Here is a 26,594-nt window from a genome sequence, read left to right on the forward strand (position 1 = left end):
GTATTACAATACGCAAACTAAAATACAGTTGTTTGTGGTGAAGAAAAAGTTGAAACAGTTTTAAGATGAATATATGTAGCTTCAAAATACTTAAGCCAACTGTAGATGATATTGTAAAAGATAAGCTGCTACCTGAAACCTATCTTGATGGGCCATTTCAGTTTCAGAACTAACATGCTGAGTGTTGTAAACAGCAGTTCTTGCCCCATGGCAGATCTAAAAGTGCCTGTGTCCGTTGGGAAGAAGAACGGTATTTAAAAGCCGTCTGAAATAAGCCTCATGGGAAAACAAGTCCACTGCCGCCCCTCCCACAGTCTCTCCGCTCTCCCTGCATCAGCCAGTGGTTCACACTGAGGACACACAGGTGAATCACGTTGAGAATTCCCAGCAGAACCGTAGTTTTCTCCCCAGCTGGCATCTCAGATCAGCCCCGTGGCTGATTCCATGGTGGGCGGGGAAAAGGGACCTACTTCACAATGACTTCCATCTGGGCCATGAGAGGAAGACTTGCCCCCGGCCAACAAGTATCCGAGAGCTGGAAAGGCCGCGTGAGCAAACAGACAAAACCTGCACTCGCCTCCCTTAAATTGAGGGGAAATCCTGGAGAAACGCCTTGCACACTCAGAAACAAACAAGAGAGATGGTCACGGCGGCCAAGTCTGCAGTTCACCTCTGTGGCCACTTCCCTCTGGATGAAGCCCTCAGCCATGGTCTCCTCTTCACGAGATTATAAGGAAAGATAATTCAGATGGAAATCTTTTTTACCCAGCCTGCTGGAAATGCAATGATTGTTGCTACAAGGATTGAAGGCAATGGGCTGGAAACACGCACCCAGCTCAGACCCTGCCTTCGGTCGGTGCCGGAATCCTTCCTTGACCCCAGCCTCACCGTGAGACACCGGGCCCTTCACTCAGAAAGGGCTCCGTCAGTCAGCACCTTGGCGGCCCACTACCCACCGTCCACCTGGTAGGATCTCTGTGTTTTCCTTTTCCTTTTTACTGAACGGGCTGAATTTTTGAGCAAGTTAATCTTTTGTTGTCATACACACAGGGATAATGAGTTTCCCAGCTGTGTTACAAACTTAATAAGTCATAGAAACCGTGGTCACTGTGTTTAATTTCTTCTTTCCAGGACAAGCATGTGTTTGCCCCTTTCGGGTTCTAAGTTTTAACTGACAAAATTTGAAACCATTTCTGCAAAAATGTTAATGAGGATTTATTTGAAAAGAACATCACACCAGAAAACATGAGCCCTGTAATTTATAGAGAAATCTTTTCTTTCTTTCTTTCTTTTTTTTTTTTTTTTTACTGAGATGACGTCTTGCTCTGTCACCCAGGCTGGAGTGCAATGGCTCGATCTCGGCCCACTGTACCCTCCGCCTCCTGGTTCAGGCGATTCTCCTGCCTCAACCTCCCAAGTAGCTGGGACTACAGGCACCCGCCACCACGCCCAGCTAAATTTTTTTTGTATTTTTAGTAGAGACGGGGTTTCACTGTGTTAGCCAGGATGGTCTCGATCTCCTGAACTCGTCATCTACCCACCTTGGCCTCCCAAAGTGTTGGGATTACAGGCATGAACCACTGCACCCGACCATAGATATACCTTTTCAACAGATATTTAAGAATAGAAAAACTGAAAATGTTGATTAAAGAGTTTTTAATTTTTTTTTAAGTTTTTAAAATTTAAAAAGGGAAAAAAAAGCATGAAGAAAATTGCATTAAATTACTTTGACCACGCATTGCTTAGGGCTGAAAAATCATGTTGGTTAGGCAGACGATAGGAGAGATGGGCTCGACTCAGACCTACACTGGCATAGGAAACTGGTGAACTGGGAAACTCACCTTGGTCGTGAAAGGGAGGATTTATTTTGGTTTACAGTATTGTAAGCCAAAAAGTGACCGAAGCAGATCTCAGTCAATTAGAAGTTTATGTTGCTAAGATTGAGAATGTGCCCGGAAAAAACAAACACAAGTCCCAGTGGGACCTGTGACCCGAGCCTTTTCCAAAGAGGGTTTTGGGAACTTTAAAGGGGAAAGAGCGAGCAGGAGGGGAGAAGGAAAAAGAGGGAGGGCAGGCAGTGGGGCACAGTCAGGCATGTGGCCGCAATCTCGTGGGCCTCTGATTAGCGCTAGTGAATCCACGTTTTACACACGATAAGGTAAGCCCTGGAAATCACAGCTGCCTGTTTGGGAATAAAAGGGAGGCAGTTTTGTGTGACGCGGGTCCCAAGCTTAACCTTCCCTGTGGCATCGTGAGTTTGGGGTCTTGAGAGTGTGTTTCCTTCACCGTGTCTACATCGTCCTTATGAAACATGTCCTGAGCACCCTCATTTCCAACCCTGCAGGCATTGCTCAGGCCTCTGATTCTAAACTCTAGTTCTGGTTTTTGGGGAAGCCACCTCCTCACTGCGAATCTCTGATTCCTTTGTTTGAGACACCAGAGGTGGGAAGACAGGAGGATTTTTCTAGTCACGCACAACGAACGTTTCTCTAATGCTATGCATGAGGGAATGACAGTGCTTCATCCAGCACAACGGGTTCCTCTTCAGGGTGCCACGCCCCACACCTGCAGCCCAGCTGCTGCAGGCTGCGTTTGCTGGACATGGGACACCCAGCACGTGCATCGTGGTAATTCCTGTAAATAAAGATGAGCGCGGCACCATCTGTTCCTCCGAGGAGTTAGCAATCTCAGTATTTTCTTCGTAAATCCAAATTATCCATTGTAGAGCTAATGGGTATAAAACCCGCCATCACTGCACTGCCTGCCCCAGGAACCAGGGCCATGCAAATGTCTCGCTCTGAAACTGAGACTCAGAGTGTCTCCTCTGTCTTTATTCCTTTCCAGTGAAAGCTCCCACATGCGTTGATGTGAACTGGATTGACCAGACATTTTGCTCTTTTAAACAATGGTTTAGGGAGGTTCCTAAAAGTTTCTTTGATTTGTTAAATACGTTATGAAGAAACTATTTTGTAGTATTCATAGAGATTCAATTTCCACTTAGCCATTGATCCAAAGTGACATTTTTGCTTGTTATGATGAGCCTTCTGAAGTGAGGCGTGGTCTCAACATCACCCGTGGTGATTACACGGGGCATTCGCGGGAGCACCAGCGTGGGGCTGAGGCTGTTCCTGATGGTGCCCAGGGCAGTGCTGATAGTGGAGGAGAGAGCCTGGTCTGAACAGCACCCCCAGTCCAGTCCACACGGATGAGGCAGGGCAGGAGATTCACCCTCCACCTCCCAGACCCATGACCGAGCACCCTTCACACCACCCCTTTCTCCTGTGAAAGAAAAGTAAAGACACTTAACAAAAAGTGATATTCTCAAACAAAAAGTAATATTCTTTAACAAAAAGTAAAACAACAGAATGATGTTGTTTTAAAAGCTAAACAAATGTAAATAATTCTGGTAGTGAAAGGAAGACCAAATTCATATATCTAAAAAAAGTAAAATTCCCAAGGGCACTGGCAGGATAACAATGATATTAAAAACCAGTGAAGACAGCTTTTGGTCAGGGCTTTACTTAAAAATTACTTTATATTTGGCAAAGACAAAATAGATAATATGGAATTTGGCTAGGGAAAAGGATGTATATTTTATTGGCTCCCACTGGTGAATTTACACCAGAGTCAGAGCTCGGCCACTTAAATAATATTTAATTTTTGTGATAAAAATGTTTTCTCCCTTAATAAACTGTTCCTTTAAAACTGGAATTCAAAGTAAATGCAAAGCAGAAAGAAGCTCCACAGTGTGTCCTTCGGGTAAACCAGTCTTCCTGCTGCCTTTAGATCAGCACCTCTGGTTATTTTTCAGCTTGACTTACACAGAAGAAAGTCGTATGCATTGGAATACGGTCTTTCTCTCACGGATTATTCTGGTAGATTTCAAAAGCCCTACAAGGATAATACAGGGAGCCATGGCCCTTTTGTGATTGCTGTCACAGTTTTATGAAAGGCATTTTCAAAAGTTAGCCTCGAGGAGATTCTGGAGATTTCTGTGCTCTCAGGAAACCCTTACCTCGCCGTGGCTCAGAAGCAGAAGTGAGGAGCCAGGCTTCTCTGTTTATGGAGAGGAATTTTCTGCACCTTCACAAGAGCTCAAAATGAACCCAGACAGAGTCTTTGAAGGACAAGGGCAGGACCCAGGGACCAGGCTGTGAGTCTGCCCTGCCTGGCTGCTTTCGGATCCTGTGTCCTCAGAACCCACCAAATTCATGTCGGTCTTGTCCTCACAGGTTCTCCTGGCCCTGGGTGAGTCACGCTGGGAGAGTTAGCACAGGTGGGGAAATGCAGGCCAGCGGCTGGCAGGGTGAGCTGCAGCCGCCCCTCTGTACCTGGTGCTATGTCTGCTAGTGGATCTTCACCCAGGATGTGCTTCCTCATTCTCGACTTCACCCCCAGCTCCAGACTCAGAGTATGAAGAGCTTGAGTGGTTGCCTGACATGGTTTCACTGTGTCCCCACCCAAATCTCATCTTGAATTGTAGCTCCCATAATTTCCACTTGTGGTGGGAGGGACCTGGTGGGAGATAATTGAATCATGGGGTGGTTTCCCCGATACTGTTCTCATAGCAGTTAATAAGTCTCACAAGATCTGATGGTTTTATCAGGGAAACCCCGTTTGCTTGGTTCTCATTGTCGCTTGTCTGTGGCCATTTAAGACACGGCTTTCACCTTCCTCAGTGATTGTGAGGTCTCCCCTGCCATGTGGAACTGTGAGTTCGTTAAACCTCTTTTTCTTTTTAAATTACCCAGTCTCAGGTATGTCTTTATCAGCATGAAAATGGACTAATACACTGCCTGTTTATATTTTTAATTGGCAAGTGCCCTTACGTTGCTGGAGAGCGGGGCCAGCTAACTACAGCCCATGGGCCAACCCTGGTTCCCTCTCCAGTTTCTGCAAGCCCAGCCTCACGGGAGTGCAGGGCCTTCTCTGGCCACAGTCAGGAGCTGCTTTTTCCCAGGGCTGTGGTGCTGAGCAGAGGTGATGGAGCCCCATGGCCTGAAACATTCACTGCCCCTTCAAATGTGCCTGTTACCGATGGCTCAGAGCACACAGCCCATGCTTAGCGGCTGATGGCACAGGATCATTTGCCACCTGTCCTGGGGGCTGTGAGTCAGGTGTCTGAGAAAGCGTCAAATGTGGGATCTCTCCAGGGTTGCCCAGGCTCGGCCAGGGCTGGAGCACCTGCCTCCAGGGCGACTGCGACTCCGTGCTGCTCTCCCTGGGAGGCCCTGTTCCTGTCCATGTGGCCCGTGCTGGTGTGACAGTGGGAGAAGAGAGATCTGTGGGAATGCCGTGCACCCGGCAGATGCTGTGTGCACCTGGCGGGGGGTTCGTGCCTGAGCTGCTGTAGGGTGAAGCTGCAGTTTCAGAAGGTCCGAGAGATGTTAAACCCATTTGGCAGAGGGCTCTGATTGGATTCTGCCTCCCCCTGTTCTGGGGAAACTAGGCGGAAGTTGTTCTGCTCCTCTCAAAGGCGGCTCACTGAACCCTGGCGAGGTGCACACCATTGAGTGGATCAGTTCCAGCACTTGGCATTGACTTTGGAAATCTGAAATGTCTGTGATAAGCCAAATAAACTTAGATTTGTTTTATTTCATTTAAAGAGTGAAGGCCCCAGAACTCTGGGAGGCTGAGGCAGGTGGATCACCTAAGGTCAGGAGCTCAAGATCAGCCTGGCCAACATGTCGAAACCCAGTCTCTACTCAAAATATAAAAATTAGCCAGGTGTGGTGGCGCACGCATGTAGTCCCAGCTACTCAGGAAACTGAGGCAGGAGAATCGCTTGAACCCAGGAGGCGGAGGTTGCAGTGAGCCGAGGTCGCGCCACTGCACTCCAGTCTGGGTGACAGGGTGAGAATCTGTCTCAAAAAAATGAGTGAAGGCAAGGAGATTGAACATAAGAGTGAGTGAGCTCTGATCTTGGTAGGAATGAGCCCTCTTGCCATATGTGACATTCAGCCCAGGGCTTGTCCAGGGCTGGAGCAATCCCTAAACAGGCGGTAGATCAAGCCAGGCTGATCACGAGTCACCTTGGAATTCAGAAGGGAGCCGTGGAATGCAGAGGGGTTCACCATAAGCCCCTCGGCTCTGGGGCCCTCCAGACACCTCTCAGCTCCTGTGGGTGATGTCTCCTTACGCAGATGTGCTTCAATAATCTCGGGCCTTCTTGTAAACCAGGGCGTCGGTATAGCTCACAGCCTTCCATCTTCCCTGGCACTTTCCCTGTGTGGGGACTAAACACAAGGGTTTTCCAGGCTCCCTCCTCCTGGCAGGACACGGCTGTTCACACATGTCATAATATTATTTAATATCATAATGTTTCTGTCAGTATTTTTTCATTTAGTAAAGAATCTTTGGACTTTCTTAACTCAACCTAAAGAAATAACTTTAAAAATGAAAATACCAGGCATAACAAAATCTTTGAGAAATTTAGGGGCAGGCATGTGTCCTGTAGACATCACATTTTCCAAGATCCAAGTACTGAGAGTCGAGAGTTTTAAGAGCAGTATAGTTCACAGTTTGGTGATAAATGGCATTAAATGTCTCATTACTACACTGACTCTGAAAATATGTCAAATGTGACTTTAAAAAAGATTACGTAGAAAATCTATTTGTTCCTTATTTTATTTGATAACCCTGAAACACAATTTTTCCCATGAAAATCTAATTTATTGGCCAGGTGCGGTGGCTCACGCCTGTAATCCCAGCACTTTGGGAGGCCGAGGTGGGCGGATCATGAGGTCAGGAGATCAAGACCATCCTGGCTAATACGGTGAAACCCCGTCTCTACTAAAAATACAAAAAATTAGCAGGGCGTGGTGGCGGGCGCCTGTAGTCCCAGCTACTCGGGAGGCTGAGGCAGGAGAATGGCATGAACCCGGGAGGCAGAGCTTGGAGTGAGCCGAGATCACTTTACTGCACTCCAGCCTGGGCGACAGAGCGAGACTCTGTCTCAAAAAAAAAAAAAAAAAAAGTCTATTTTATAATTTCCTTAAGATAGCCATATAATGTTAGAGTAAAACAAATGGTCATGTTCATCATTATATTCTAAAAAAAAATTCTATATTTGAAGCATTTGTTACTAACAGAATGTCTCTCTTGATATGGAAACTCATGATGAAAAGAAAATAGTAAATAAATTGTTCCAGTTTTACACTCCCCAGTTTTCAGCAATTTACCTAAAAACTGAAGTGACACAATCACAGCCCCCAGCTGAGTTAGAACAGGCTCATTCAATGGGCTAGATGTTTCCATAAGGATAGGTCTCATCTGGAAAAAATAAACATATCCAGAAGAGAGAATGCATTAGGCTGTTCTTGCATTGCTATAAAGAAATACCTGAGACTGAGTAATTTATAAGAAAATAGGCTTAACTGGCTCACAGTTCTGCAGGCTGTTTAGGAAGCATGGTGGCATCTGCTTCTATGGAGGCCTCAGGAAGCTTCCAATCCTGGGGGAAGGCAGAGGGTAAGCAGGTGTCTCACATGGTGGGGGCAGGAGCAAGAGAAAACAAAGTGAGAGGAGGTGCCATAGACTATATATATGCACTTTAATTTCTGATTTCTGGGGCACATGTGCTGAACGTGCAGGTTTGTTATATAGGTATACACGTGCCATGGTGGTTTGCTGCACCCATCAAGGTAATACCATTCAGGACATAGGCATGGGCAAAGACTTCGTGACTAAAACACCAAAAGCAATGGCAATTAAAGCCAGAATTGACAAATGGGATCTGATTAAAGAGCTTCTGCACAGCAAAAGAAACTATCATCAGAGTGAACAGGCAACCTACATAATGGGAGAAAATTTTTGCAATCTAGCCATCTGACAAAGGGCTAATATCCAGAATCTACAAAGAACTTAAATTTACAAGAAAAAAACAACCCCATCAAAAAGTGGGTGAAGGATATGAACAGACACTTCTCAAAAGAAGACATTCATGCAGCCAAAGGACATATGAAAAGAAAGCCATAGACTTTTAAACAATCAGATCTCATAAGAATTCACCATCCTGAGAACAGCAACGAGGGGGTGGTGCCAGATACTACCTGAGAATCCACCCATGATCCCATCACCTCCACCCAGGCCCCTCCTCCAACACTGGGGATGACATTTCAACATGAGATTTGGGCAGGAACACAGACCAAACCATATCGGACAACTTATTTGATAAATCCTTTGCTTTATGTAGAAAATGTCAGTCTTAGCTATACTAATAAAATTTTACAGTGTGACAATTTCTTCTTGAAATATGTTTTGTGTTTTAACCCATTGATGTTAACATGAAGATGTGCTATGGGATAAGTGAAGAATTAAATGTGCAAAACCACATCCTTTTAGGAGCTACAGGACCATGTAGTTTGGACATGCGCCTCTAAGTGATGTGGAACTGAGCTCCATGACTCACGGGTGCTGCAGCCTTAATGTCCTCATTTGCAAAATTAGAATAACAATTGTCTCTACCTCATGAAATTGTTGAGAATTAGAGAAATTGTGCCTGGCAGCATAAGCACACATAAACGCAGCTGTAAATTGTGGTTGCTTTCATGAGGATGGGAAGATGGAGGAGTTTTTACCCCAATCCCAAGGAGGCACTGGCAGAGAAGAGATCACCTGCAGTCTATCTTTTGACCGAAAGAAGCTCCCTGATGCATTAAACCCTTTAAAATGCATCTCCACGACTGCACAGCCCACCCTCAGAGGCCACCGGCGATGCCCACGTAGAACCCGGGAGCGTTTCAGTCCCACTAGGGCACAGGAGTGGCACTACCTTTCAGAGCAACTGTCAGCTGGCTTCTGCGGCAAACAGCTCCCAAGTATAAATGACAACACAGATATTCCTGGCTGGGCAGCTCCACACAGTTGCTCTTTTCCAAGAGGTGATTCAAGAATGTAAGCTTCCTCCTTGAAGGGTCAGCATCTTCAACACAGAAACCCCAAGGCCACTATGGAAGCAGAGAGAAGGGGGCGCACACCCCTCTTGCCCATGCCTTACTGGCCAGCAACACTCACTTGCCTCCATGAAAACATGAGACATCATGTCTTCATGATGAGAAATATCATCTTGTCAACTGCCCAATGGAAAACTAAAGTATTTTAGTGAACAAAGCATTGCCTTTGCCACAGTTACCAAAACTGGTGAAGCTGAACAGCTGCAAAGGATACAGGCAGCAAACTGCCCTGAAACTGATGGAAAGAACCTTGCTAGGATTGTCACAACCAGGAATTCCAGGAAGACCTGGACTACATAGATATGTAAAGAAAAAGATGCTCTTTCTTTTTTTTAATATATATATTTTTTATTATACTTTAAGCTCTAGGGTACATGTGCACAACGTGCAGGTTTGTTACATATGTATACATGTACCATGTTGGTGTGCTGCATCCATTACTCGTCATTTACATTAGGTATATCTCCTAATGCTATCCCTCCCCCCTCCCCCCACCCCACAACAGGCCCCAGTGTGTGATGTTCCCCTTCCTGTGTCCATGTGTTCTCATTGTTCAATCCCACCTATGAGTGAGAACATACAGTGTTTGGTTTTCTGTCCTTGTGATAGTTTGCTGAGAATGATGGTTTCCAGCTTCATCCATGTCCCTACAAAGGACATGAACTCATCATTTTTTATGGCCGCATAGTATTCCATGGTGTATATGTGTCATATTTCCTTAATCCAGTCTATCATTGTTGGACATTAGGGTTGGTTCCAAGTCTTTGCTATTGTGAGTAGTGCCGCAATAAACACAAGTGTGCGTGTGTCTTTATAGCAGCATGATTTATATTCCTTTGGGTATATACCCAGTAATGGGATGGCTGGGTCAAATGGTATTTCCAGTTCTAGATTTCTGAGGAATTGCCACACTGTCTTCCACAATGGCTGAACTAGTTTACAGTCCCATTAACAGTGTAAAAGTGTTGCTATCTCTCTACATCCTCTCCAGCACCTGTTGTTTCCTGAGCATTTAATGATCGCCATTTTAACTGGTGAGAGATGATATCTCATTGTGGTTTTGATTTGCATTTCTCTGATGGCCAGTGATGATGAGCAGTTTTTCATGTGTCTGTTGGCTGCATAAATGTCTTCTTTTGAGAAGTGTCTGTTCATATGCTTTGCCCACTTGTTGATGGGGTTGTTTTTTTCTTGCAAATTTGTTTGAGTTCTTTGTAGATTCTGGGTATCAGCCCTTTGTCAGATGAGTAGATTGCAAAAATTTTCTCCCATTCTGTAGGTTGCCTGTTCACTCTGATGGTAGTTTCTTTTGCTGTGCAGAAGCTCTTTAGTTTAATTAGATCCCATTTGTCAATTTTGGCTTTTGTTGCCATTGTTTTTGGTGTTTTAGCCATGACGTCCTTGCCCATGCCTATGTCCTGAATGGTATTGCCTAGGTTTTCTTCTAGGTTTTCTTCTAGGTCTAACATTTAAGTCTTTAATCCATCTTGAATTAACTTTTGTATAATGTGTAAGGAAAGGATCCAGTTTCAGCTTTCTACATATGGCTAGCCAGTTTTCCCAGCACCGTTTGTTAAATAGGGAATACTTTCCCCATTTCTTGTTTTTGTCAGGTTTGTCAAAGATCAGATAGTTGTAGATGTGTGGCATTATTTCTGAGGGCTCTGTTCTGTTCCATTGGTCTATATCTCTGTTTGGTACCAGTACCATGCTGTTTTGGTTACTGTAGCCTTGTAGTATAGTTTGAAGTCAGGTAGCGTGATGCCTCCAGCTATGTTCTTTGGCTTAGGATTGACCTGGCAATGCAGGCTCTTTTTTGGTTCCATATGAACTGTAGTTTTTTCCAATTCTGTGAAGAAAGTCATTGGTAGCTTCATGGGGATGGCACTGAATCTATAAATTACCTTGGGCAGTATGGTCATTTTCACCATATTGATTCTTCCTACCCATGAGCATGGAATGTTCTTCCATTTGTTTGTATCCTCTTTTATTTCATTGAGCAGTGGTTTGTAGTTCTCCTTGAAGAGGTCCTTCACATCCCTTGTAAGTTGGATTCCTAGGTATTTTATTCTCTTTGAAGCAATTGTGAATGGGAGTTCACTCATGATTTGGCTCTTTGTTTGTGTGTTTTTGGTGTATAAGAATGCTTGTGATTTTTGCACATTGATTTTGTATCCTGAGACTTTGCTGAAGTTGCTTATCAGCTTAAGGAGATTTTGGGCTGAGATGATGGGGTTTTCTAAATATACAATCATGTCATCTGCAAACAGGGACAATTTGACTTCCTCTTTTCCTAATTGAATACCCTTTATTTCTTTCTCCTGCCTGATTTCCCTGGCCAGAACTTCCAACACTATGTTGAATAGGAGTGGTGAGAGAGGGCATCCCTGTCTTGTGCCAGTTTTCAAAGGGAATGCTTCCAGTTTTTGCCCATTCAGTATGATATTGGCTGTGGGTTTGTCATAAATAGCTGTTATTATTTTTAGATACATCCCATCAATACCTAATTTATTGAGAGTTTTTAGCATGAAAGGCTGTTGAATTTTGTCAAAGGCCTTTTCTGCATCTATTGAGATAATCATGTGGTTTTTGTCTTTGGTTCTGTTTATATGCTGGATTACGTTTATTGATTTGCGTATGTTGAACCAGCCTTGCATCCCAGGGATGAAGCCCATTTGATCATGGATAAGCTTTTTGATGTGCTGCTGGATTCAGTTTGCCAGTATTTTATTGAGGATTTTTGCATCAGTGTTCATCAGGGATATTGGTCTAAAATTCTCTTTTTTTGTTGTGTCTCTGCCAGGCTTTGGTATCAGGATGATGCTGGCCTCATAAAATGAGTTAGGGAGGATTCCCTCTTTTTGTATTGATTGGAATAGTTTCAGAAGGAATGGTACCAGCTCCTCCTTGTACCTCTGGTAGAATTTGGCTGTGAATCTGTCCAGTCCTGGACTTTTTTTGGTTGGTAAGCTATTAATTATTGCCTCAATTTCAGAGCCTGTTATTGGTCTATTAAGAGATTCAACTTCATCCTGGTTTAGTCTTGGGAGAATGTGTGTGTCGAGTAATTTATCAATTTCTTCTAGATTTTCTAGTTTATTTGTGTAGAGGTGTTTATAGTAGTCTCTGATGGTCGTTTGTATTTCTGTGGGATCGGTGGTGATATCCCCTTTATCATTTTTTATTGCATCTATTTGATTCTTCTCTCTTTTCTTCTTTATTAGTCTTGCTAGCGGTCTATCAATTTTGTTGATCTTTTCAAAAAAAAAACCAGCTCCTGGATTAACTGATTTTTTGAAGGGTTTTTTGTGTCTCTATCTACTTCAGTTCTGCTCTGATCTTAGTTATTTCTTGGCTTCTGCTAGCTTTTGAATGTGTTTGCTCTTGCTTCTCTAGTTCTTTTAATTGTGATGTTAGGGTGTCAATTTTAGATCTTTCCTGCTTTCTCTTGTGGGCATTTAGTGCTATAAATTTCCCTCTACACACCGCTTTAAATGTGTCCCAGAGATTCTGGTATGTTGTGTCTTTGTTCTCGTTGGTTTCAAAGAACATCTTTATTTCTGCCTTCATTTTGTTATATACCCAGTAGTCATTCAGGAGCAGGTTGTTCAGTTTCCATTAGTTGAGTGGTTTTGAGTGAGTTTCTTAATCCTGAGTTCTAGTTTGATTTCACTATGGTCTGAGAGACAGTTTATTATAATTTCTGTTCTTTTACATTTGCTGAGGAGTGCTTTACTTCCAACTATGTGGTCAATTTTGGAATAGGTGCGGGTGTGGTGTGGAGAAGAATGTATGTTCTGTTGATTTGGCGTGGAGAGTTCTATAGATGTCTATTAGGTCCACTTGGTGCAGAGCTCAGTTCAATTCCTGCATATCCTTGTTAACTTTCTGTCTCATTGATCTGTCTAATGTTGACAGTGGGGTGTTAAAGTCTCCCATTATTATTGTGTGGGAGTCTAAGTCTCTTTGTAGGTCTCTAAGGACTTGCTTTATGAATCTGGGCGATCCTGTATTAGGTGCATATATATTTAGGATAGTTAGCTCTTGTTGAATTGATCCCTTTACCATTATGTAATGGCCTTCTTTGTCTCTTTTGATCTTTGTTGGTTTAAAGTCTGTTTTATCTGAGACTAGGATTGCAACCCCTGCCTTTTTTTGTTTTCTATTTGCTTGGTAGATCTTCCTCCGTCCCTTTATTTTGAGCCTATGTGTGTCTCTGCATGTGAGATGGGTTTCCTGAATACAGCACACTGATGGGTCTTGACTCTTTATCCAATTTGCCAGTCTGTGTCTTTTAATTGGAGCATTTAGCCCATTTACATTTAAGGTTAATTTTGTTATGTGTGAATTTGATCCTGTCATTATGATGTTAGCTGGTTATTTTGCTCATTAGTTGATGCAGTTTCTTCCTAGCATCGATGGTCTTTACAATTTGGCATGTTTTTGCAGTGGCTGGTACCAGTTGTTCCTTTCCATGTTTAGTGCTTCCTTCAGGAACTCTTTTAGGGCAGGCCTGGTGGTGACAAAATCTCTCAGCATTTGCTTGTCTGTAAAGGATTTTATTTCTCTTTCACTTACAAAGCTTAGTTTGGCTGGATCTGAAATTCTGGGTTGAAAATTCTTTTCTTTAAGTATGTTGAATATTGGCCCCCACTCTCTTCTGGCTTGTAGAGTTTCTGCCAAGAGATCAGCTGTTAGTCTGATGGGCCTCCCTTTGTGGGTAACCCGACCTTTCTCTCTGGCTGCCCTTAACATTTTTTCCTTCATTTCAACTTTGGTGAATCTGACAATTATGTGTCTTGGAGTTGCTCTTCTCGAGGAGTATCTTTGTGGTATTCTCTGTATTTCCTAATTTGAATGTTGGCCTGCCTTGCTAGGTTGGGGATGTTCTCCTGGATAATATACTGCAGAGTGTTTTCCAACTTGGTTCCATTGTCCCCATCACTTTCAGGTACACCAATCAGACATAGATTTGGTCTTTTCACATAGTCCCATATTTCTTGGAGGCTTTGTTCATTTCTTTTTATTCTTTTTTCTCTAAACTTCTCTTCTCACTTCACTTCATTCATTTGATCTTCAATCACTGATACCCTTTCTTCCAGTTGATCGAATTGGCTACTGAAGCTTGTGCATTCATCACATAGTTCTTGTGCCTTGGTTTTCAGCTTCAGCAGGTCCTTTAAGGACTTCTCTGCATTGGTTATTCTAGTTAGCCATTCGTCTAATCTTTTTTCAAGGTTTTTAACTTCTTTGCGATGGGCTCGAACTTCCTCCTTTAGCTTGGAGAAGTTTGATTATCTGAAGCTTTCTTCTCTCAGCTCGTCAAAGTCATTCTTTGTCCAGCTTTGTTCCATTGCTGGTGAGGAGCTGCGTTCCTTTGGAGGAGGAGAGGCACTCGATTTTTAGAATTTTCAGTTTTTCTGTTCTGTTTTTTCCTCATCTTTGTGGTTTTATCTACCTTTGGTCTTTGATGATGGTGACATACAGATGGGGTTTTGGTGTGGATGTCCTTTCTGTTTGTTAGTTTTCCCTCTAACAGACAGGACCCTCAGCTGCAGGTCTGTTGGAGTTTGCTGGAGGTCCCCTCCAGACCCTGTTTGCCTGGGTATCAGCAGCAGAGGCTGCAGAACAGTGAATATTGCTGAACAGCAAATGTTGCTGTCTGATCCTTCCTCTGGAGGTTTCGTCTCAGAGGGGTACCCGGCTGTGTGAGGTGTCAGTCTGCCCCTACTCGGGGGTGCCTCCCAGTTAGGCTACTTGGGGGTTAGGGACCCTCTTGAGGAGGCAGTCTGTCCGTTCTCAGATCACAAACTCCATGCTGGGAGAACCATTACTCTCTTCAAACCTGTCAGACAGGGACATTTAAGTCTGCAGAGGTTTCTGCTGCCTTTTGTTTGTCTGTGCCCTGCCCCCAGAGGTGGAGTCTACAGAGGCAGGCAGGCCTCCTTGAGCTGTGGTGGGCTCCACCCAGTTCGAGCTTCCTGGCCGCTTTGTTTACCTACTCAAGCCTCAGCAATGGCGGGTGCCCCTCCCCCAGCCTCGCTGCCGCCTTGCAGTTGGATCTCAGACTGCTGTGTTAGCAGTGAGCGAGGCTCTGTGGGTGTAGGACCCTCCGAGCCAGGCGTAGGGTATAATCTCCTGGTGTGCCGTTTGCTAAGACCATTGGAAAAGCGCAGTATTATGGTGGGAGTGACCCGATTTTCCAGCTGCCGTCTGTCACAGCTTTGCTTGGCTATGAAAGGGAATTTCCCTGACCTCTTGCACTTCCCAGGTGAGGTGATGCCTCGCCCTGCTTTGGCTCACACTCGGTGTGCTGCATGCACTGTCCTGCACCCACTGTCTGACAAGCCCCAGTGAGATGAACCTGGTACCTCAGTTGGAAATGCAGAAATCACCCATCTTCTGCGTCGCTCACACTGGGAGCTGTAGACTGGAGCTCTTCCTATTTGGCCATCTTGGAACTGCCCGACGTTAATCATCTAAATAAAGTATTTCCACCTGTACCTTCCTAGACGGGTCAGAATTCTCTAAAGAAAATTTTAGGGTACACTTTTGCCCCAAATAAGTGAATAAAAATCAATTTGGGGATACATTCTTGTTCTAAATAAGTGAACAATTAAGAAGTTTTTTTGTGTTTTATTTTTTTGTTTGTTTGTTTTATTCTGCTGACAGCCAAATCTCTGGGGGAAAAACAACTGAATAAACTTTTGACAAAGCTGGGCTGGGCTGGCAGCTCACTCAGGAGGGGCAGGGCCTGGCTCAGGTCGGGTCTTCCTAGGGGAGACTGTGCTGGGATGAGGAGACAGTGGTGCCACAGGGAAGGGTGCTGAGGGCGTCTCAGAGAGCAGAGGGTGTCTGAGGAGCCCATTGCCAGTTCTTGTCGTGGCCAAGTCTAGTGAGATCTGGTGTCCGGGTTATTGATTTTCAGGACATTCATTGAACAAACAAATGTATTTGCAACTTCATCTTCCTGGGCAAGTGTTTCCCAGAGAGTAAAGTCATGTTCAGAGACAAGAGTTCTACTTCCCAACTGTAATTGGAATCTCAGTTTCACTTACTCATCCATGTGTCTGTGCTTAATTCCCTTTCATGTAACATGGGAAAAATAACACTACTTTCCTCATCAGATTGTTAATTAATTAATACAAGTAGAATATTTAAACAGTCTTGGTGGGTGGAAATGTCTGCAAATGTTAGTCCTTACCATGGTGATAATGATTTGCTCAGTAGGGCTTCCTCCCAAGCCATGGCATGCTCTTACTTGGGCCGTTTCTGTCCCCAGAGCCACTCCTGCCACTGATAATCCATTGTCCTCCCCTCCTGGCATCTGATGTGTGGCTTTTCCTCCCTTGCTTGTTTCCAGGAATTCTTTCCACCTCAGATTAAAAGCCTTTTCCACAACACAGCCTCCTCTGACCTACCTGACTGGGTCAGCTCTCACATTGTAGTATTTTAGAATTGTTTCATCAGTGATGAGCAACCAGGACACTTAGATCAAATTGCTATTTGTCTTTGGTTTGCTGTTTGTCTTTTCCAATAAGCCACCTTTTCTTCCCAGGGACCACGCCTGGTTTTTTACTGTGGTGTCCCCTGGCATACAAGAGGTTAAGTGGTTATTTCTTTCTTTTCTTTTTTTTTTTTTTTAATACTTTAAGTTCTAGGGTACACATGCACAACGTGCAGGTTTGATACATGGGTGTACATGTGCCATGTTCGTTTGCCACACCTATCAACTCGTTATTTACATTAGGTATTTCTCCTAATGCTATCCCCCCCCAGCTCCCCAGCCTCTGACAGGCCCCGGTGTGCAATGTTCCCCTTCCTGTGTCCGAGTGATCTCATTGTTCATTTCCTACCTGTGAGTGAGAACATGTGGTGTTTGGTTTTCTGTCCTTGTATAGTTTGCTGAGAATGATGGTTTCGAGCTTCATCCATGTCCCTGCAAAGGACATGAACTCATCCTTTTTTATGGCTGCATAGTATTCCATGGTGTATATGTGCCACATTTTCTTGTGGCAGAATTGAATCCAATCTATCATTGATGGACATTCGGGTTGGTTCCAAGTCTTTGCTATTGTGAATAGTGCTGCAATAGACATACGTGTGCATGTGTCTTTACAGTAGCATGATTTATAATCCTTTGGGAATATACCCAGTAATGGGATTGCTGGGTCAAATGGTAATTCTATTTCTAGATCCTTGAGGGATCGCCACACTGTCTTCCACAATGGTTGAACTAATTTACACTCCCATTAACAGTGTAAAAGAGTTCCTATTTCTCCACATCCTCTCCAGCATCTGTTGTTTCCTAACTTTTTAATGATTGCCATTCTAACTGGCATGAGATGGTATTTCATTGTGGTTTTGATTTGCATTTCTTTCTCTGATGAACAGTGACAATGAGCATCTTTTCATGTGTCTGTTGGCTGCATAGATGTCTTCTTTTGAGAAAGGTCTGTTCATATCCTTTGCCTACTTTTTGATGGGGTTGTTTTTTTCTTGTAAATTTGTTTGCATTCTTTGTAGATTCTGGATATTAGCTCTTTGTCAGATGGGTAGATGGCAAAAATTTTCTCCCATTCTGTAGGTTGCCTGTTCACTCTGATGGTAGTTTCTTTTGCTGTGCAGAAGCTCTTTAGTTTAATTAGATCCCATTTGTCAATTTTGGCTTTTGTTGCCATTGCTTTTGGTGTTTTAGTCATGAAGTCCTTGCCCATGCCTATGTCCTGAATGGTATCGCCTAGGTTTTCTTCTAGATTTTCTATGGTTTTAGGTCTCACATTTAAGTCTTTAATCCATCTTGAATTAATTTTGTATAAGATGTAAGGAAAGGATCCAGTTTCAGCTTTCTACATATGGCTAGCCAGTTTTCCCAGCACCATTTATTAAATAGGGAATCATTTCCCCATTTCTTTTTGTCAGGTTTGTCACAGATCAGATGGTTGTGGATGTGTGGTGCTTCTATTCTGTTCCATTGGTCTATATGTCTGTTTTGGTACAAGTACCATGCTGTTTTGGTTACTGTAGCCTCATAGTATCGTTTGAAGTCAGGTAGCGTGATGCCTCCAGCTTTGTTCTTTTTGCTTAGGATTGTTTTGGCAATGTGGGCTCTTTTTTGCTTCCATATGAACTTTAAAGTAGTTTTTTCCAATTCTGTGAAGAAAGTCATTGGTAGCTTGATGGGGATGGCATTGAATCTATAAATTACCTTGGGCAGTATGGCCATTTTCACAATATTGATTCTTCTTATCCATGAGCATGGAATGTTCTTCCATTTGTTTGTGTCCTCTTTTATTTCTTTGAGCAGTAGTTTGTAGTTCTCCTTGAAGAGGTCCTTCACATCCCTTGTAAGTTGGATTCCTAGGTATTTTATTCTCTTTGAAGCAATTGTGAATGGGAGTTCACTCATGATTTGGCTCTCTGTTTGTCTGTTGTTGGTGTACAGGAATGCTTGTGATTTTTGCACATTGATTTTGTATCCTGAGACTTTGCTGAAGTTGCTTATCAGCTTAAGGAGATTTGGGGCTGAGACGATGGGGTTTTTTAAATATACAATCATGTCATCTGCGAACAGGGACAATTTGACTTCCTCTTTTCCTAATTGAATACCCTTTATTTCTTTCTCCTGCCTGATTGCCCTGGCCAGAACTTCCAACACTATGTTGAATAGGAGTGGTGAGAGAGGGCATCCTTGTCTTGTGCCAGTTTTCAAAGGGAATGCTTCCAATTTTTGCCCATTCAGTATGATATTGTCATAAATAGCTCTTATTATTTTGAGATACATTCCATCAATACCCAGTTTATTGAGAGTTTTTAGCAGGAAAGGCTGCTGAATTTCATCAAAGGCCTTTTCTGCATCTATTGAGATAATCCTGTGGTTTTTGTCATTGGTTATGTTTACGTGATGGATTATGTTCATTGATTTGCATATGTTGAACGAGCCTTGCATCCCAGGGATGAAGCCAACCTAATCATGGTGGATAAGCTTTTTAATGTGCTGCTGGATTTGGTTTGCCAGTATTTTATTGAGGATTTTTGCATCTATATTCATCAGGGATATTGGTCTAAAATTCACTTTTTTTGTTGTGTCTCTGCCAGGCTTTGGGATCAGGATGATGTTGGCCTCATAAAATGAGTTAGGGAGGATTCCCTGTTTTTCTATTGATTGGAATAGTGTCAGAAGGAATGGTACCAGTTCCTCTTTGTACCTCCGGTAGAATTCGGCTGTGAATCTCTCTGGTCCTGGACTGGTTGGTAGGCTATTATTACCTCAATTTCAGAGCCTGTTATTGGTCTGTTCGGAGACTCAACTTCTTCCTGGTTTAGTCTTGGGAGGGTGTGTTTGTCCAGGAATTTATCCTTTTCTTCTATATTTTTTAGTTTATTTGTGTAGAGGTGTTTATAGTAGTCTCTGATGGTAGTTTGTATTATTGTGGGATTGGTGGTGATATCCCCTTTATCATTTTTTATTGCATCTATTTGATTCTTCTCTCTTTTCTTCTTTATTCTTAAACAGATACTTAGGATGAAAATGAAATATGTGTAATGTTTTACATTCATGAGTGTGTAAAGAGTCATATAGACTCTTTGTCATCACTGGCTTTACTTTAAGGCAAAGGTGACTGACTCAGGTCATTCTCATAATGGTATAAAGAAATACCTGAGGCAAGGTAACTTATGAAGAAAAAGGGTTTCACTGACTTGTGGTTCTGTAAGCTGTAGAGGAAACAGCAGCTTCTGCTTCTGGGGAGGCCTCAGGAAGCTTCCAATTGTAGCGGAAGGCAGAGGGAGCGAGGCGTCTCACAAGGTGGGAGCAGGAGGAAGAGAGGAGAGGAGAGGGAGGTTCTGCACACTTCAACCACCAGATCTCACAAGAACTCATTCACTATGAGGAGGATGCTGCTAACCCATTCGTGAGAAATCGCCCATGACCCAGTCACCTCCCACCAGGCCCACCAGGCCCCTCTTCCAACCCTGGGGATTGTAATTCAACGTGAGGTTTGGGTGGGGACACAGATTCAAGCCATATCAGTGACTTTGCAGAGTTAAGATCAGGTCCACACAGCACCTGGGTGGAAGAGGTGGGTGTTGGGGGAGGGCCTGGGCTGGTCAGGTGGGGGACCCTTGTGCCCAAGGACACCCTGTGAACCTGCTGATATCAAGCTCAGGGACACCTGTGAACCCGCTGATAGCAAGCCTACCTTGAAGTCTGTTCAATGCTCTTCCAAATAAGGCCTGTGGAAACTCTCATGAGAAAAACAAGGCAAAAACTGCAGAAATACAACAGAATAGATATACAGGAAATAAAAAGAGAGTTCCTAACTGGAAATGTCAATACTTTATCCAGGAAAAAATGCTCATGCGTGATTATTGGAGTACAAATAATGTTTTTATGTTTCCAATTATATATTAGAATACATGAGAATTAGCTAAATCATGGTGACATTTCTAAATATTTCACTTCTTCTTTACGCATTTATTGCTATAAGGACACTATCTGAAAAGTGGAGCTACTATTTATTTCAATATTTTAAGTAGACTGTGAAAGATAAAACAGACCGTGAAGTAATTCGTTGATGTTTATGTGTCAAGGGCGCTTTAGTAACCTTTCAAATACCACTTTCAACTTAAGCCACCTATCTCCTCCATGTGACAATTTTCAATACTTCCAAAGTAAGAGTTTTACCTAGAAATCATTGACAAAATATGTCCAGCAGCCCCCAAATATTTCACTACATCCACTATCACCTTCCACATTGAAGCATTTAGCACGATATGGAGTTGTCCCAGGCTTGAAGACTGTGAATACGGTGGAATATTAAAGCTAAAGTTTACAGGAAAACACAAATATTGACATCTTATACATTTCAGCTATTTTTTCCTGTAATATAAGAACCTTGTAATGGAACGTATAAAGGGGAAATTGACTCTCAGACAGTTTCATTTTGACGACCATGGAGGGTACATCATCGGGCTTCGATGCCGCCTGCACTGAGCAGAAGCACCTTGATCTGCCAAGACCTCAAAATACGGGCTGGCCCAGCCACCACAGGATGGGGAAGGCTGGATTCTCTGAATAGGATGTGGAATGGTCAGGCAGGTGCCTGGATCCAGACCCGCCGAACAGACGTCTCCAGGAATGCTCCTTTAACACTTGAAGCATGCATGTCTCACCTGTGAGATGGAGAAAGTGTGTCTCCCAGGCCAGTGGGGCTGGGATTGGAGAGGATGGAACAGGCAAATGCAAACGTGAGAAAGTGACCTTCAGGGCCACTGTCCTGGACGCATGGACCGAGCGTCACCCGGGCCCTGCCCAGAGAGTCCTGCCTGGTCTAATGCTCTGCTGTCACTGGTCTGAAATGGTTTATAATTTTTTGAGAAGGGGCCATGGGTTTTTAATTTGCACTGAGCCCTTCACATTCTGTAGCTGGTTTGCAAGCCGCATTGGATGGGCCATGAGAGTGTTGAGATGCGGTTAGATTTGCAGGAGCGGAACTCAGGATGTGCCCCCACGTGATTCCAGGCTCCTAGTCACCGCGCAGGGCCTCTTCTGACCCTGAGGCTTCCGCTTCCCTGCACACCATATGTTGGATTTTCCTTCATAATTTATAGCTTTAGTTGAACAAGAGTTTTCTAGGATGAAAAAAAATTGCAGTTTTTTCTTTGAATTTAAATGTCTTACTACTTTTCCTCCATTGCCTGTCAGTGCAAAACAAACACAAACAAAGCATCAGCCACTTCTCTTTCTCTAAATCTCCAGGAAGCCCTGCCTCTCCAGGCAGCTCCACTCCCAGGTGTGCCCTTGGAAGGGGTGCAGTTTGCTGCACAGAAGCTCTGGCATAACTCAGAATAAGAAACTCATTTCCCCAACCAGCCAGCCACACTGTAATCCAAGCAGAACAGCTCTGACACAAAGATTTCCCATGTGACCATTCAAGATTTTATACACACTAATATTCTTCCTTTAGTTTAAAGAATCAAGTTTGCTTTGGATTATTAAAAAGCTCTGCACTTAAAGGTCATGGGGAAACTTAAATGGCAAAAGGAAGCAAGGCCCAAGTTTCTTTTATGTCTAACATAAAAAATTGTTAAATAATGCTACGTATTTTTTGATAGATTTAAGATATAAATTTCCTAATTTTATGTATAATAAAATAAAAAACATAAAAATATCTCTCCATGTGAAGTGGGTTTGAGTGTCGTTAATGAGTGGTCTGGTTTGACTGTGTCCCCACCCACATTTCATCTTGAATTGTAGCTCCCATAATCCCCATGTCAAGGGAGGGACCTGGTGGGAGGTAATTGAATCATGGGGGTGGGTTTTTCTCATGCCGTTCTAGTGATAGTGTGTTCTAGTGATAGTGTGTTCTAGTGATAGTGTGTTCTAGTGATAGTGACTAAGTCTCATGAGATCTGATGGTTTTATAAAGGGCAGTTCCCCTGCACACATTCTCTTGCCTGCCGCCATGTAAGAGGTGCCTTTGCCTCTCCTTAGCCTTCTGCCATGATTGTGAGGCCTCCCCAGCCATGTGGAACTGTGAGTCCATTAAACCTCTTCCTCTAATAAGTTACCCAGTCTGGGATATGTCTTTATTAGCAGCGTGAAAACAGACTAATACAATGAGGAAGTAAGAAGAGGCTGAATTCCTACATAATCCAGATGCTTCCTGTGAGCTGCCACTAAGCTCTGCTCTGCTGGAAGCTCACGTGGGAAGAGTCTGCCTGGCACAGCTTCCCCAGGCCCCATCTCCCCTTGGAAAGGGCAGACACCAAGGCTGGGGAGGAGGCAGAGGGGAGCCACATGGCCACAGAGGCCAGCAGGGGTTCCCCAGGACGGAGGAGCTAAAAAGTAATCTGGGAAACTCAAACCTGCCCCAAGAATTCTGGGAGTTGAAGGGCACAGACACTAGACCAAGAGCAAACCACATCCCAAGAAGCGTTTACCCACTGGGGCCAGGGCAGGAGGCCTGGGTCTCAGGACAGCTCCCAGCTCTGAGATTGGCAGAAGTATAGACGTCCCGCAGTTCACAGCAATGTCTTCCGCAGCTGAGAGGGTCTCCGTGCATGTGTCAGCCATCTGCAAATCTGACAGTGCTCGAATATTTTTTGATTCAGCAGTGGAGTAACTTTACATTCTAAGGGAGCCCATTGACTTGCAGAAAGGACAGGTGTGGTTATGTTCTGGCACCACATAAACATGGAGGGAAATTGCAGAATGAGCCGCTGTTCTTTCCCTCAGATGCGTGAGGATGGGCATCGCGTCACGGGGAGACAGTCTCATCCCAAATCCCACCTTTGCCATCAGGTAGGGAGCATGAGCCCCAGGTTAGAAGCTGTCAGTGTCTGTTAACAATCACGTCCAGCTGGCCCGCCTAGGACCCAAGGCAGGCTTTTTTGCAAGCTATGTGTGGGCAAATGAATCCATCCTTGCTCCGTTGTGCCTCAGGAAAACATGCAATTTTAAAATAAAGCCGCAGAAGTTTAATAGATGCGTTAAATAGTTAATGCATTATGTAGGAGTAAGTCATAGAACTTGGACTCAATGTTTCTATGGTATATAAACATCAGCATACTTGTTTTCAATGTATTCAAATAATGTGTATTTTCCAAATGAGACTTGCTATCCGTTCCAGACCCTGTACTCACTTGCTGTTGGAACATTATCAAGGCTCATTTTCGTCATCTGAAAGGTGGAAACAATAGTAGGTGCCTCATAAAGATGCCGTAAGGACTCAACACCTGCCAGCTTTATCTGTTTTAAGATCTATTGATAATTAGAGTTCACATACAGGAGCCTCAGCTGAGGAAAAAATCCAGTTCTGTTTATATTTGCCACAGTATCTTGTCTCTGCAAATTCCCTCAATTCAGAGATTATCACTGCTTCCCAACCAAGTTATCCCATTTTTACTGCAGGAAAACACAAGAAGCACAAATCTGAAACATAGGGCATGACATGGGAGTTACTGACTTCCATAGGTATGTGAGGATGCCTTCCCTGAGTGCCCTGAGTGCCTGCAGATGCCGTGGCCCAGGAGGAAGATACACCATTCCCTCCCCAGGCAAGCCCTGAAAGTTTGGCAGAGCCGTGCTCCAGTGCAGAGGGACTCCCATCTCAAAGTTTGTAGCTCCAGCTGCAGCTCAAATTCAGGCTGGAAAGACATAGCCAGCTCTCGGCCCTCTGCTGTTCCTGAGTCTGAGGAAAAGCACAGAGGCTCATTCTAGTCTGTGCTGGAGTGTGGCCTGTGGAGGCAGAGCTGGGAGGCCCTGCTGCATCTCTGGTCCTTGTTGTTGCTCTCCCAGCCTCCAAGCCTCCCACCCCCGGGTCCTGATGCAGGGGAAGGGGCTCCTCCATCCTCCTCTCTCTGCCTGGCAGTTGGCTCCTCTGCTTTGCCCATCAGAGGTGTGTGTTTTCCGATCCTCTCTGCACAACCCCCGATGTTGTCTCTCCTTCCATCAGCCCCCAGCAGAGCATTTTCAAACCCAGACACATGTCAGAAGCTCCTTTATCCAGCTCCCATGGGGCGTACCTGGGGTCAAAACTTCCAGAGTTCCAAATATGCACCTTGTGCAGAAAAAAGTACTTCCCATGCCACAAACAAAGGGTACAAGAAAAGTAGCGTTCCGCACATTTTCAGGCATGCAACTTCATCTCTTGGTTAAGCTCCACTTCCAGACAGTGAAGGAAAATAAATCCAGTCAACTCCAAGAAAAACCAGGCATAGTTTTCATTCCTCCCTCACTCAGGGATGACTCCGGTGAGGGACAGGACTGTGGCCAGGGCTTCTGTCTTTTCCCCACTCTCTGCTGGCATCTCCCCATCAGTCCTAGGGGAACCACAGATGCCTGCTGGCACCCAGTGATGTGTGGTGGCCTCCCTGTATCCTGCAGGCAGCCTGGGGCCCATCTCCTGACTGCCGCGCTGCCCACAAACTACTGTTGCCTTTGGATCACTTCTATGCCAGCTCTGGCACGGCTGGAAACTTGTGGGTTTCAATCAGGCCATCTCCCCAGACACCCACACCCCACGCCTGCCTGGCTTCCCACTGCAAACAAGGCTGGCCACCACCCGGCACCAGCTCAGAAGCAAAGACCACTCCATGGGTTCTCAGACCTCACCCAGTGGGCGGCTCCTGTTGTGGCCCCAGCATTGCAGACATCACAGGCGGAGACCTCTGTCCCTTCTCTGCCTCCCCACAGCTCAGCATTTATCTAGCTGGGCAGGGAGGGTCTGGACAAAACTGCAGTGGGAGAGGTCATGAATATCACCTGGTTCATGTGCAGGCAAGCCCTGGTTTCCTCCTGCACCGCTTGCGTGGGGGTCTCTATCTCTGGCTTTGTGGGGGTGCCCTTCCCCCAAGGAATGGGGTGCTGGGGCCAAGGCTCTCCTTGCAGCCCAGCTGAGGATTGCAGGGGCCAGGGAGTGCAGAGAAGGTGCCTGGAAGGTTGTGCCCCCTCACCTGCAGCCATGACCCAGGACTGACAGAGGGTGGGGGGCGCTGGCACCAAACTCCTTGAGCAGCCACTGCCAGGCCCCTGAGGAAGCTCCAGGCCCAGGAGGCTGGGCTCTCCCTGCAGCCAGGCCCTCACCTCCTCTGCAAGCCACGCTCACATTCTCCTTTCCAGGAACCAGACCAGAGACATTTCTTCCCTCTTCTGTTTCTTGGAGACCAGCCCCACCTTCCCTGCAGGTGCATTTCCCAGGTGGCGGCTGCAGTTGTTTCTGCAGGACAGGACTCTGGGTTCACCCATGCCCTCCTCTGTTCAGCCATCCCTCCCTTGTCTGCCCCAGGTGAGTCCTCATGAAATGTCCAGCCCCCCCGAGGGAGGCAGAGCCACGTGCTCTCCAAGCCCTCCTGGGCATCATCACCAGATTGCATTTTCTGCGCGGAGCTTCTCCAGCAGCATCAGCAGCCTGACGATGGGCTTCCAACTCTGGCCTTTCCAATACAGCAGCCCCCTTATCCAAAGGAGAATCTTTCCAAGACCCCAGTGGACACCTGAAGCCATGGAGAGAACAAGTCCTATGTATGCTGTGTTTTCCTACACACATACCCACGGTGAAGCTTAGTTTATAAATTAGGCATAGTAAGAGATCCACCATAACTGATAATAAAACAGAACAATTATAACAATACCCAGAATGATGCATGATTTAAAACCGATGAGTTGTTTATTTCTGGAATTTTTCATGTAATATTTTCAGACTGAGGTTAACCACAGGGAACTGAAACTGCAGAAAGCAAATCTGAAGATCAGAGGCCCTGTTGCCCACCCTTTCCATCTCTGCAGATCTCCAGTGCCTCGGGAGCCTCTCCCATCCCAGGGCCTGGGGCTCCTGCCTCCTCCCCATGTGGCCTCAATCTGCCTTCCTTGCATGAATTTCTCTGAAGGACACCTGTCTTCACTCACTCACACCTCTCTAGGAGCACCAGGTTCTGCAAATAGGAACAAGGCACATCAACGGGTGCACAGGAAAATCCTTACATGGAAATCTTACTTGTTATTTGACATTCATGTTTAGGTGAGTGTCCTGCATTTTACTGGTAGCCCCACTTAATGGGAGCTGCCACCCATGGCCGCCACCCTTCCCTCTTCTCCAGCCAGACGCCCCTGGGCTCTCTTCCCCTTCCCAGTGTGGA

The 26,594-nt window shown here is 44.9% G+C and overlaps 1 protein-coding gene across 6 annotated transcripts in view, besides 1 other annotated feature; it reads left to right on the forward strand.

The window, feature by feature from the left end:
• TPO (thyroid peroxidase) overlaps positions 611-26,594 on the forward strand; it is a 169,627-nt gene continuing 143,643 nt past the window's right edge. For all 6 annotated transcript variants that reach the window (XM_047445652.1, XM_047445655.1, XM_047445654.1 and 3 more), the window contains exon 1: positions 611-966. The gene's annotated coding sequence lies outside the window, so the exon portion shown is untranslated. The remainder of the gene's footprint in view (positions 967-26,594) is intronic.
• Positions 14,536-15,104: an enhancer, noted in NCBI's record as "OCT4-NANOG-H3K27ac hESC enhancer chr2:1391744-1392312 (GRCh37/hg19 assembly coordinates)". NCBI's record gives its function as "activates a minimal SCP1, AML or CMV promoter by ChIP-STARR-seq in naive and primed H9 embryonic stem cells {active_cell/tissue: H9 hESC(naive and primed)}" and the evidence as "EXISTENCE:reporter gene assay evidence [ECO:0000049][PMID:30033119]".

The sequence above is a fragment of the Homo sapiens genome, chromosome 2 (genome assembly GCF_000001405.40).
Source record: "Homo sapiens chromosome 2, GRCh38.p14 Primary Assembly".
Classification (NCBI taxonomy): Eukaryota; Metazoa; Chordata; class Mammalia; order Primates; family Hominidae; genus Homo; species Homo sapiens.